Raw genomic sequence first — 13,077 nt, 5'->3', positions numbered from 1 at the left:
TATGCTTTTTATAACTTTTTGACAAATAAAAATGCCTATATAGTTACTTTTTACATGTGGTGAATACACTTAAGATCTACTCTCTTAGCAAATTTCAAGTATATATAATACATTATTATTAACTATAGTAACCATGTTGTATATCAGATCTCCAGAACTTACTCATCTTATGACTGAAATTTTGTACACATTGACCAGGATTCCTCGATTTCCACCAACTTCCAGCCCTTGACAACCACCTTTCTACTCTCTCTTTCTATGAGGTTGATTTATTTAGATTCCCCATGTAAATGAGATCATGCAGTATTTGTTCTTTTGTGCCTGATTTATTTTACTTAGTATAATGTCCTCCAGTTTCATCCATGTTGCTGCACATGACAGGATTTCATGTTTTTTATGTCTGAATAATAACAGTTTCTTTATTCATCCATCCACTGATGGACACATAGGTTGTTTCCATACCTTTGCTACTGTGAATAATGCTGCAAGGAACATGGGAGTGCAGATGTCTCTCTGAGATCCCAATTTTAATTTCTTTGGATATTTACCCAGAGCTGGGATTGGTGGATCATGGGCGTTATTTTTTGTTTTCTGAAAAACTTCCATACTGTTTTCCATAATGTCAGTGCCAGTTGACACTCCCAGCAACCAGTATACAAGGGTGTTCTTTTTTTTTTTATTATACTTTAAGTTTTAGGGTACATGTGCACATTGTGCAGGTTAGTTACATATGTATACATGTGCCATGCTGGTGCGCTGCACCCACTAACTCGTCATCTAGCATTAGGTATATCTCCCAATGCTATCCCTCCCCCCTCCCCCCACCCCACAACAGTCCCCAGAGTGTGATGTTCCCCTTCCTGTGTCCATGTGTTCTCATTGTTCAATTCCCACCTATGAGTGAGAATATGCGGTGTTTGGTTTTTTGTTCTTGCGATAGTTTACTGTACAAGGGTGTTCTTTCGTCCCCATCCTTACCAATGCTTATCATTTGACTTTTTGATAATAGCCATTCTAAGAGGTAAGATGATATCTCATTGTAGTTTTGATTTTCATTTCCCTGATGATTAGTGATGTTGATCACTTTTTTATATACCTCTTGGCCTTCTTCAGAGAAATGTCCATTCAGATATTTTGCCTATTCTGTTTTCTTTTTACTGTTGAATTATATGAGTTCCTTGTATATTTTGGATATTAGCTCTCTATCAGACATGTGGTTTGCAAATATTTCCTCCAATTCCATAGGTTCCCTTTCCATCTCATTGATTGTTTCCTTTGCTGTGCAGAAACTTTTTCAGTTTGATTGAACTCCCATGTGTTTATTTTTGCTTTTGTTGCCTGAGCTTTTGGAGTCACAGTCATAAAGTCATTGCCAGGAACAATATTAAGGAGCTTTTGCATCCCCAGGATAAATTCCACTTGATCATGGTGCATAATTCTGTTAATATGCTGTTGAATTCAGTTTGCTAGTATTTTGCTGGGGACTTTTGCATCTGTGTTTAACAGCATATTGTGATTGTTTTAGGTATTCTAGTTCCTTTTCCCTTCCATGAACTTTTGGAATCAGCCTATTTATATTTACAAAAATCCTGCTGCAATTTTGATGGATATCTCTTTGAATATATAGATCAATAGAGTGAGAATTGACATCTTCACTAGGTTGGGTCTACCAGTCCACTAACATGATATGTGTCTCTATCAATTAGTTAATTATTTAGGTCGTATTTGATTTATTTAATCAGCATTTTGTTATTTTCAGCATATAGATCCTACACATGATTTTTTAGATTTATACATACATATTATGTGTTTGGAGCTATTAAAATGATATTTTAAACTTTTGATTCCCCATTTTTTACTTGTAGTTGTATGTAATAACACTTCATTTTTGTAGGTTGACCATGTAACCTTGCTGAAGTTCTTGTAGTTTCCTTAGGGATTTCCCCGGCTTCTTCCCAGGCTGCTGGGTATGAAAAGGCACATGGGTGCCAAGCCAGCAAAATGAGACCCATGCCTTCTCAAGGCTGTACTCCCACTGCCATAGGTTATTCCAGATGCCAAGTGCCTCACCCACTGAAACAGCCATGAGCTGGCCAGCCAGGGCCCCCCACTCGGCCTGAGACCTTAGTCCCCAGAAGGTAGAGATTAGAATCCTTATATGTTCTTTGCATCAGAGAGGAGACTAAGGACAGTTGTGCCCAGTGATGTCAACGTGCTGGACTCTGACTGGTGCCCAAGAAAGTTGGTAAAGGTGGGGAGAGGCAGGCACAGCCCTGGCCCTTGACTAAGGCAAGGTCCCTGGAAGATTCCACTCCCATCCATCCTGGACCTACTGCAGCCATAGCCTTCACTCTGGTCATCCTCCAGGTGAAAGTGTTGGAAGAAAAAAAGTGAAAAGAGATAGGAGGAGGGAAGAGAAGACACAATCTCTAGGCTATCTACCAAGACTATAGAAATAGACCAGCTGTATAGAAACATTGGGGAAAGATAGAAAGAAGGAGCAATCACTTTGTCTATAGGAGAGAACTCCTGGAGTTATTTGCTGCTATGATTTTGTTTGAAATACAGGAATTTGATTTGTTAGTGTTCTGGAGATACTGTGAAAGGAAAAGTGAGGATCTCAGAAAAGCAGAGAGTCAGCAGGAAAGTCAGAACTGGACGACCAGCCCAGACCTGGTTCCCTGAAGGGCCACCCTCCCCGACAAGCTGTGCAAAATGCTACTGTTGGGACAATATCTTCCCTAGACCCCTCCCTAGGGCCCCAATTGCCTCCCTGGCACTATCAACATGGTGGCTAGACACGACTCAGGTTCTCATGGATGAATTTATCCACTCCCCCTACTCACATGGCTTGCTCTAGAAGGCCCCTTCTCTTCTTCATTCCAGCAGCTAGACATGAGTCACCTAAATAATCAGAAACAGAGGCTGCAGATACAAGATAGACTAATAAGGGGGAAAAACAGTAGTTTTTGGTACAAGTTCCAGACAGAATTATTTAAATACATACTGCCAATCTCAAATATAAAGATACTTAGTGGTACTGAGGAGAGGAGGAAAGGAGAAGATTAAGAAACCACAGCTAGGACCTCAGACCTTCACGGAATGGCAATTGCCCAACCCACTTCCACCTCCACTCCTGTGGGACAACCTTTCCCTCCCCCTCTGCCATCAGATGTGCACTCTTCACAGCCTGGCATGCCCATACACAAGCCCCAGGGGCTGTGTCCAGTACTTTGAGGAATGATGTTGGACTGAAGGGAAAGTATGACCCTGATTACAGTCGACTATAGAGAACCAGCTTTAAATCACTCTTTGGGAAAATAGTAGCGCTGTTTTTTTTTTAAAAAAAAAGGAAGGAAAAGGGAAGGAAGGGCGAGAGGAAGTGAGGGAGAGAGAAAAGGAAGATTTTTTTTAAAAAAAAGAACGCTGAAGCAAATATGTGAGAAAATAGGGTCTGCTTTGGAGAGGAGGGAAAAGAAAGGAAGGGAAAGGAGAAGGAAATAAGAATGTGGATGACAAGTTGTACAGTGGTAAGAGTCTGGGACAGGGGTGAGGAGATTCACATTCCAGTCCCTGCTCTCCTGCTAACTTACTAAGTAGCATGTGCTATCTCTTCCCTGAGTCTCAGTTTCCCCATCTGTGCAATGGGGGGAAGTGGGGAGTTAGGCCACCACCAATGTCCCTGTATGCTCTGCTATCTTGGGGAAAGGCAGACTCACTCACAGAATGAGGCTGTCAGTGAGGGTGAATTTTATTTGATTAAATTAGTAATGGATTCAGTAAATATAAACGTCAGCTCTGTTGACAAAAGGTTTCTAAACTAATACTCTCAATCACCCATCAGTTAGCACAAATGGCATCTTATCCTTCAACTTGCTTTTAAAAAAACAGCTTTATTGAGATACAATTCAAATACCATAAAATCACCCATTTATACATACAATTCATTGTTTTTACTGTGTCCACACGATTGTGCAACCATCACCACAATCAATTTTAGAATATTTCTATCTTCCCAATAAGAAGCCCTGTACCCATTAGTATTCCTTCTTCATTTCCTTCCAGCCTCACATCCCCAGCCCCAGGCAATCACTAGTCCACTTCCTGTCTCTGTAAGTTTGCCTATTCTGAGCCTTTCATATAAATAGTATCATATAATATGTAGTCTTCTGTTAATAGCTTTTTTTACATAGCATAATGTTTTCAAGCTTCATCTATGTTGCAGCATGTATAACTTCATTCTTTTTAGGGCCAAATAATATTCCATTGTATGAATATGCCACATTTTGTTTATCTACTCTTCCACTGATGGACATGTAGGTTGTTTCTACCTTTGGGATATTGTGAATAGTGCTGCTATAAACATTTTTGTACAGGTTTTTGTGTGGACATACGTTTTCATTTTTCTTGGGTGTATACCAAGAAGTGGAATTGCTGGGTCAAATGATGACTCCATGTTTACGTTTTTGAACAACTGCTAAACCTTTCCAAAGTGCTTGCACCATGTTACAATCCTAGCAATGTATGATGGTTTCAATTTCTCCATATCCTCACCAATGCTTGTTGTTATCTGTCTTTTAGATTCCAGCCATCCTAGTGGATGTGAAGTGGTATCTCACTGTGGTTTTGATTTGTATTTCCATAATGCCTAATAAGATCTGGCTTCTTTTATTATGCTTATTGGTCATTCATATATGTTCTTTGGAGAAATGTCTATTGAAATCTTCTGCCCATTTTAAAATTAGGATATCTTTCTTTTTATTTTTGAGTTATAAGAGTTATTTATATACTCTTGATACCAGTGTATCATAAAATATATGACTTAAAAGTATTATAATTTTTCAGGGCGCTGGTTTTTCCTCTATCCAGTACAAAGGCCATGACAAGTGAATTCCTTTGTCATCTCATCCATCTGATACTGTAGCAAGTTCCCAAGCAGATGATCTTCTGTTATACCTGCTATTAATCTCCCATTAGACTTCCCTCCTTGGGAAGGCTGTAGGCTTCATCTCCTGTACTTTGTACTTCATGTACCCATCACAATAGAAGCACACTTCTAAGATTTTCCAGAAACCCAAGGATTAAAGCTGACTTTGATACTCTCTCACCTTCCAGGATTCCCACTATCATTTCATACATGGCTCCAGTAAATTCCATATTTCAATGCCAAGCAGTTAGGTATTTTAAAAGACTTGAGTTATTTACTCAGCACTTTAGTTGTTTTCATAACGGGGGTTGTTCAGAATATCTTTTTAAATACTTTGTCAAAAATGGAGGCCTGTATACACTTTAAAAATGTTTTATGTTGAAATAATTATAGATTCAAGGAAGCTACAATGGTAGTAGAGAAGTTCTAAGTAACCATCCAATTTCAGCCAAGGATTACTACCTCAAAATCAGGAAACTGATACAATATATTTGTTGCCAATTTATCAGAAGTGTAGATTTGCAACTACCACCCCAGTCAAGGTACAGATCATGATACAATTAAGATACAGAACTATACCATCTACACAAACTTCCCTGTGCTACCCTTTATAATCACACTCACGCTTTCCCCCCCGCACAATCCCCAATTCCTGGAAACCAACAGTCTGTTGTCCATATTTATAACTGTTATATCAGGAATGTTACGTACATGGAGCCACACAGTATGAAATGGAATTTTAATACTGGATTTTTTCAATGAGCATAATGCCCTTGAGGTCCATATAAGTTGTTGTTGCACCTTTCAGTAGTTTTCTCATTTTTATTGTGGAGTAGTTATGTATCACAGGTTGTTTAACCATTCATTTATTGAAGGATATTTTAGTTGTTTCAATTTTTTGACTACTACAAATAAAGGTGTTATCAACATTCATGTTTATTTTCAACCTACTTATATCATTATATTTGAGCGAGTTTCTTACAGACACCATATAATTGGGTAATTTTTTGAATCCACTATTCTATTCTCTGTATTTCAATTGGTATGTTTAGATCGTTTTCTGCACTTGAAAGATCTTGTACCACTTTTTCTAGCCTCTGTGTTTTCTACAAATAAATCCTCTGTCATTTGAATTGTTATCCCCTTATAAAAGGTGTCATTTTAATACATTTGCAGCCTTAGTCTCTTTCTCCTCTCCTTCTGGGACTTCGATGGTAGAAATAACAGATCTTTTGGCACAATCCTATTGGTCCCTGCAGCTTTGTTTATGTTTTCCTTCTATTTTTAACTCTGTTGTTCAGACTGGATCATTTTTATTACTCTGTCTTCAGTTCACTGATTTCCCTTCTGTCCTCTCCATTCTGCTGTTGAATACATCAGTTAAGGTTTTAATTTCAGTTATTGTATTTTTCAGTTCTAAAGTTTCCATTTGTTCTTTTAATATCTCCTGTTTCTTGCTGAGACTTTCTGTTTTCCTGTGTTTTAAGTGTGTTTGTAATTACTCGTTGAAACATTTTTATGATGATTTATTTCTAATACTTTTCGGAAAATAAGTCCAACATCTGTGTCCTTTTGGTGTTAGCCTGTCTTGATTGTCTATTCTCATTTAAGTTGAGATTTTCCTGATTCTTGGCATGATGAGGTTTTATTTTATTTTAATTGCATCCTGGGCATTTTAGTATTGTGCCATAAGACTGGATCTTGTTCAAACCTTCTATTTTAACTAACTTCCTCTGACACTGCTCTAGCAGGGGAAGGAGGCCACTGCTTCATCACTGCCAGATGGGTTCCTAGCTTGGCCTCCACTGACACCCAGGGAGGTTGTCTTTGTTACTGTTGGGAAATGGTGGCAATTCCAACTCCCTACTAGACTTCCCCTGAATATCTCCTTCCTGGAGGGGCAGGACTGCCTCATTACTGCTCCCCATGTGGAGCACTGACATCATGGTGGTTGGGCGTGGTTGCAGTATCTATGCCATATTGAAATCCTGAGTCTCTGCTAGGCCTCCTTACCAACTGGTAAGGAATCAAACTCCCAGGCCCCTACTGAGTCTTCTCTGTTACCATCTCTGGTGGGGTGCAGTCGAGTGGGGTTTCAAATACTTTGGTATAGCCTGATAAGGTTAGATATCTGGGCTCACTACTTGGTCTTTGCTGTCTGTTTGGGGTGGAGCCACATTTTTTTCTGTGTTGTCTGGCTGGAGTAGAGCAGTTAATGTCTAAACATTTTCTGCCTTAATGGGTTACCCCTGTCCTGGTCCTTTGGCTGGAGAGAGCAAGTTTTTGTTGGGGCTTTTCTTGTCTGTGCCCATTGGCATTTCTGGGTTTGTTGCTTCTTTGTCTCCAAGTCTGGGATATATGAGGCAAAAGGAAACCCAGGCAATGCCCCACCATGCCACTCCTTTGGTCCCAAGGTCACTAGAGAGTTTTCTTTCTTCTTTCCACTATTCAGACTCTTCTTGTGCTTGTAGTATAGCCAAGGTCCAGGCAGTTTAGTTATGTCTACCATGTTAAACAGAGAAAAGTACCTCTACTCCATCTTCCTGAAGACAGTTGAATCCATACAGAGTATTTTTAAATAGTAATAAGCCCATTTAAAAAGTCTTGATTTTTAAATTAACACCATATCCCAGGATTTTAAAATAATCCCAGTCATTAAATACTCTCCCTTCCCAAGTCTTTTATTTTTATTCTTTTCAAAAGTTGTTTTGTTCTTGTAGAAAATATAATTTTTGAAAAACAGCTCTTGTAAACAATAGGCTTCTCTACCTAGAAAATCCTAAAGCCTCCACAAAAAGGCTTCTGGAACTGACAAACAACTTCAGCAAACTTTCAGGATACAAAATCAATATACAAAAATCAGTAGCATTTCTATACATCATTAACGTTCAAGCTGAGAGCCAAATCAAGAATGCAACCACATTTACAATAGCCACAGAAAGGTGGAATAGCTAGGAATATATCTAACCAAGGAAGTGAAAGATCTCTACAAGGAGAACTACAAAACCCTGCTAAAAGAAATCACAGATGACACAAATAAATGGAAAAATATTTCATGCTCATAGATTGGAAGAATCAATATTGTTAAAATGACTATATTGCCTGAAACAATCTACAGATTCAATGCTATTCTTATCAAACTACCAATGTTATTTTTTCACAGAATTGGAAAAAACTATTCTAAAATTCACATAGAAGCAAAAAATAGCCTGAATTGCCAAAGTCATCATAAGCAAAAGGAACAAAGATGGAGGCATCACATTACCTGACTTCAAACTATAGTATAAAGCTACAGTAACTGAAACAGCATGGTACTGGTAGAAAAACAGACACATAGACCAATGGAACATAATAGAGAACCCAGAAATAAAGCCATACACCTACTGCCATCTAATCCTTGACAAAGTCAACAAAAATAAGCAATGAGGAAAGTACTCCCTATTTAATAAATGGTGCTGGGATAGCTGGCTAACCATATGCAAAAGAATGAAACTGGACCCCTTTCACCACCACATGCTGAAATTAACTCAAGATAAAGATTTAAATGTAAGACCTCAAACTGTAAAGATCCATATTAGTCTGTTCTCGTGTTGCTATAAAGATCTACCTGAGACTGAGTAATTGAAAAGGAAAAGAGCTTCAACTGACTCACAGTTTGGCAGGCTGTACAGGAAGCATGGCTAGGGAGGCCTCAGGAAACTTACAATCATGGCAGAAGGCAAAGAGGAAGGAGGCACGTCTTACATGGCTGAAGCAGGAGGAAGAGAAAGAGAGGGGGGAAGTGCTACACACTTTTATAAACAATCAGATCTTGTGAGATCTCACTCATTATTACGAGCACATCAAGGGAGAAATCCGCCCCCATAATACAATTCCCTCCTACCAGGCCCCTCTCCCAACACCGAGGATTACATTCGACATGAGATTTGGGTGGGAATACAGACCCAAATCATATCAGAATCCTAGAAGAAAATATCAGAAAACACTATTCTGGACATGGGTCCTGGGAAATAATTTATGACAAAGTCCTCAAAAGCAATTGCAGCAAAAATAAAAATTGATAAGTCAGATCTAATTAAACTAAAAAAATTCTGCACAGCAAGGTAAGTATCAAGACAGAATGGGGAAAAATTTGCAAAAGTATGCATCTGACAAAGGTCTAATATCCAGAATCTATAAGGAACTTAAACAGTTCAACAAGGAAAAATAACCCACAACCCCATTTAAAAACTGAGCAAAAGACACAAAGAGACACTTCTCAAAAGATTGCATACAAGCAGCCAACCATCGTGAAAAAATGTTCAGCATCACTAATCATAAGAGAAATGCAAATCAAAACCACAATGAGATACCATCTCACCCCAGTAAGAATGGCTATTCTTGAAAAGTCAAAAACAACAGATGTTGGCGAGGCTGCAGAAAAAAGGGAATGCTTATACACTATTGGTGGGAATGTAAATTAGTTCAGCCACTGTGGAAGGTACTTTAGCGGTTTCTCAAATAACTCAAAACAGGACTACCATTTGTTCCAGCAATCCCATTACTTGGCATATATCCAAAAGAAAACCAATTATTGTACCAAAAAGGCACAGGCACTAGCATGTTCGTTGCAGCACTATTCACAATAGCAAAGACATGGAATCACCCTAGCTGCCCATCAATTGTGGACTGGATAAAGAAAACATACATATACACCATGGAATACTATGCATTCATAAGAAAGAACAAAATCATGTGATGCAATTTGCAGCAACCTGGTCGCAGGTGGAGGCCATTGTCCTAAGTGAATTAACACAGGAACCAAAAACCAAATACACACTGCGGATTACTGGACTGGGGAGGGAGGGGAGCAAGGGTTGAAAAACTGTTGGGTTCTGTGCTCAGCACCTGGATGACGGGATCATTTGTACCCCAAACCTCAGCATCAGGCAATATAACCAGTTATCAAACCTGCACATGCACGCCCAGAATCTAAAATAAAAGTTGAAGAATAAGAAAAAAAGCTTTATTAAAAGATATTTGACATAAAAAAACCTGCATTATGTGTAAATTTCATAAGCTTTGACACATGTATACCTCTGAAAAACCATCATCACAATAAAGAGAGTGAACAGATGCATCACCCTCAAAAGTTTTCTTCTACCCTTCATAATTCCTCCTGTAGGAGCCCCCTCCCTGAACTTCCATTCCCAAGAAACCATGGATCTGCCTTCTGTTACAATAGATTCTTTTACATTTGGGGAAGTTTTATATAATTACCTAGAAGTGGTATACTTGCATGACATGATAGGTGCATGTTTAACATTTTAAGAAACTGCCAAATTCTCACCAATACTTGGTATTGTCAGTCTTTTCCATATTAGCTAATCTAATAGGTGGATGGTAGTCTCTCATTGTGAGTTTTAGCTTTTTTCACTTAGCATACACTACGATCTGAATGTATCCTCACAAAATTCATGTGTTGAAACTTAATTGACAATGTGATAATATTAAGAGGTGGGACCTTTTAGACGGTGATTAAGTCATGAGGGTGGATCCCACATAAATGGAATTAGTTCAGGAGGTTCGAGGGAGCTGTTAGCCCCTTTCACCATGTGAGGACACTGCAAGAAGTGCTGTTTATAAAGCAGAGAGCCCCCACCAGACACTGTGCTGGCACCTTGATTTTGGACTTGCCAGCCTCCAGAACTATGAGAAATAAATTTCTAATATTTATAAATTACCCACTTTAAGGTATTTTGTTACAGCAGCCTGAATGAAAACAACATAATTCCCTTGAGCTGTTGCATATATCAACAGTTTCTTCCTTTTCATTGCTAAGTAGTATCCTATGTACAGATCTACCATAGTTTGTTTAGACATTACCCCATTGAAGGTCATTTGGGCTGTTTTCAGCATTTGGGTATTATAAATAAAGCTACTGTGGACATTCATGTACAGCTTTCAGTGTGATCATACATTTTCATTTTTCCAGGATAAATGCCCAAGTATGAAATCTGGGTTGTGTGTTAGTTGTATGTTTTATATTTTAAATTAATAGACATTATAAAACAGTTCTAATTTATAGGAAATTGGACAGTACTGATAGTTCCCAGTAGCCTCATCCTCTTATACAATTTTCCTTATTATGAGCTTTTTGCATTAGTGTGGTATATTTGTTACAATTAATGAACCAATGTTGATAAATTATTATTAACTAAAGTCTATTGTTTACATTAAGGCTTACTTTGTGTTGTATATTTTCATGGTTTTTAAAAAATGTCCAATGTCATTTACCCACCATTCCAGTACCATATGGAATAGTTTCATTGTCCTAATGAATTTCTTGTGCTTCACCTATTTATGCTCACTCTTTCTCCCTGAATCCCTAGCAAGCACTGATCTTTTTATATCAATAATTTTACTTTCTCTAGCATGTCACATAGTTGGAATCATATGGTGCGTGGCCTTTTCAAACTGGCTTCTTTCACTTAGCAATATGCATTTAAAATACCTCTGTGTTTTTTTCATGGCTTCATAGCTCATTTTTATTGCTGAATGGTATTTTTATTCTGAGGTTTGAATGTACCAGAGTTTGTTTATCCATTCACCTATTGAGGGGCATCTTGGTTGCTTCCAGCTTTGGGAAATTATGGATAAAGCTGCCATAACATTTGTATGGAGTTTTGTGTGGAGATAAGTTTTCTACTAAATAAGATAAAATATCAAAATCTATGATTGTTGCATCATATGGTAAGGCTATGTTTAGCTTTGTAAGAAACTGCTGAAGTGTCCTCCAAACAAGTGTACTATTTTGCATTACTACCAGCAATTAATGGGAATTTCTGTTGCTCAGCATCCTAACCAGCAATTGGTATTGTCAGTGGTTTGTATTTTAGGCATCCTAATATGATGTGGTGATATCTCATTGTTGTTTAAATATGTAATTCCCTAATTATAAATGATGCTTATCTTTTCTTATGCTTATTTGCCATCTGTATGTTTTCTTTGATAAGTACCTTTTCATATCTTTTGCCCATTTTTAATTTTTTTTTGTTTTCTTATTGTTGAATTATGAGTACTTTGTATATTTTGGATACAAGTCCTGTATCAGACATGTGTTTTGCAAATATTTTCTCCCAGTCTGTGCTTGCCTTTTCATTTTCTTAACGGTGCCTTTCAGTGCGTTAATGAAGACCTTCCACCATCAAACTGGGATTTGCAGCTTCTGGTAGGAAACACTTCAGGCTGATAATCAGCCTCTGTATGAGAATGGGGTCATTCAAAATGAGCCCCAGGGTGATTGCTGGGGGGATCATGTAGGATGAAGGGTGCTTTCGTGTTAATCTCATCCACCCATGATCAATGCCCACCCGGATCAACACCTGCCCCACCTCTGCTTCACATACTTCCTCTTAGCTGCCCTCACTCTTGACAGGGCCCTCATCAGAACTCAGGAACCCTGAGATTCCAAAAGAGGTTGACTTGTGTTTTCGTGAGAGAGTTCACTGAAGGTTTGGGTCATCTCCAGATTCACTGTGCCCAGGACCAACTCAGCTGTTGAGGAGTTTTTCTTCCTCAGCTTTGGCTTTAGTGTCTCTGGTGCAGTTAGCCTTTCTTATAGCCAGAATGGGGTATACAGCCTGTGATACTTAATTTTAGGTGTCAAGTTGACTGGGCTAATGTCCAGATAGCTGATAAAGTATTATTTCTGAGTGTGTCTATGAGGGTGTTTCTGGGAGTGACTGGCATTTGAATCAATGGCCTGAATAAGGAAGATCTGCCCTCACTCAATGTGGGTGACACCATTCAATTGGCTGAGACCCAGATTGAACAAGAAGGTAGAAGAAAGGCAAATTTGCACTATCTGTCTTCTGGAGCTGTGACATCCATCTTCTTCTGCTTTTGGACATCAATTCCAGGCTCTCTGGCCTTTGGACTTTAGGACTCGCACCATCATCTTTCCGGGTTCTTGGGACTTCAGCCTGGGACTGAGAGTTACACCTATTGGCTTCTGTGGTTCTGAGGCCTTCACTGGACTTAGACTGAGCCACACTTCTGGCTTCTTTGGCTCTCCAGTTTGCAGATGGTATTTTGTGGGACTTCTCAGCCTCCATAATTGAGTGAGCCAATTTTCCTAATAATCTCTTCTCATCCCTCTCATACCTATC

At 38.7% G+C, this 13,077-nt stretch overlaps 1 long non-coding RNA gene across 3 annotated transcripts in view; it reads left to right on the top strand.

Moving 5' to 3' along the window:
* Positions 1-13,077, top strand: part of MAGEA3-DT (MAGEA3 divergent transcript) — a 144,351-nt gene that overhangs the window by 25,778 nt on the left and 105,496 nt on the right. The window lies entirely within an intron of this gene.

The sequence above is a fragment of the Homo sapiens genome, chromosome X, assembly GCF_000001405.40.
Source record: "Homo sapiens chromosome X, GRCh38.p14 Primary Assembly".
NCBI lineage: Eukaryota > Metazoa > Chordata > Mammalia > Primates > Hominidae > Homo > Homo sapiens.
The sequence above is the reverse complement of the archived record's forward strand: the minus strand, read 5'-3'. Positions and strand labels throughout refer to the sequence as shown.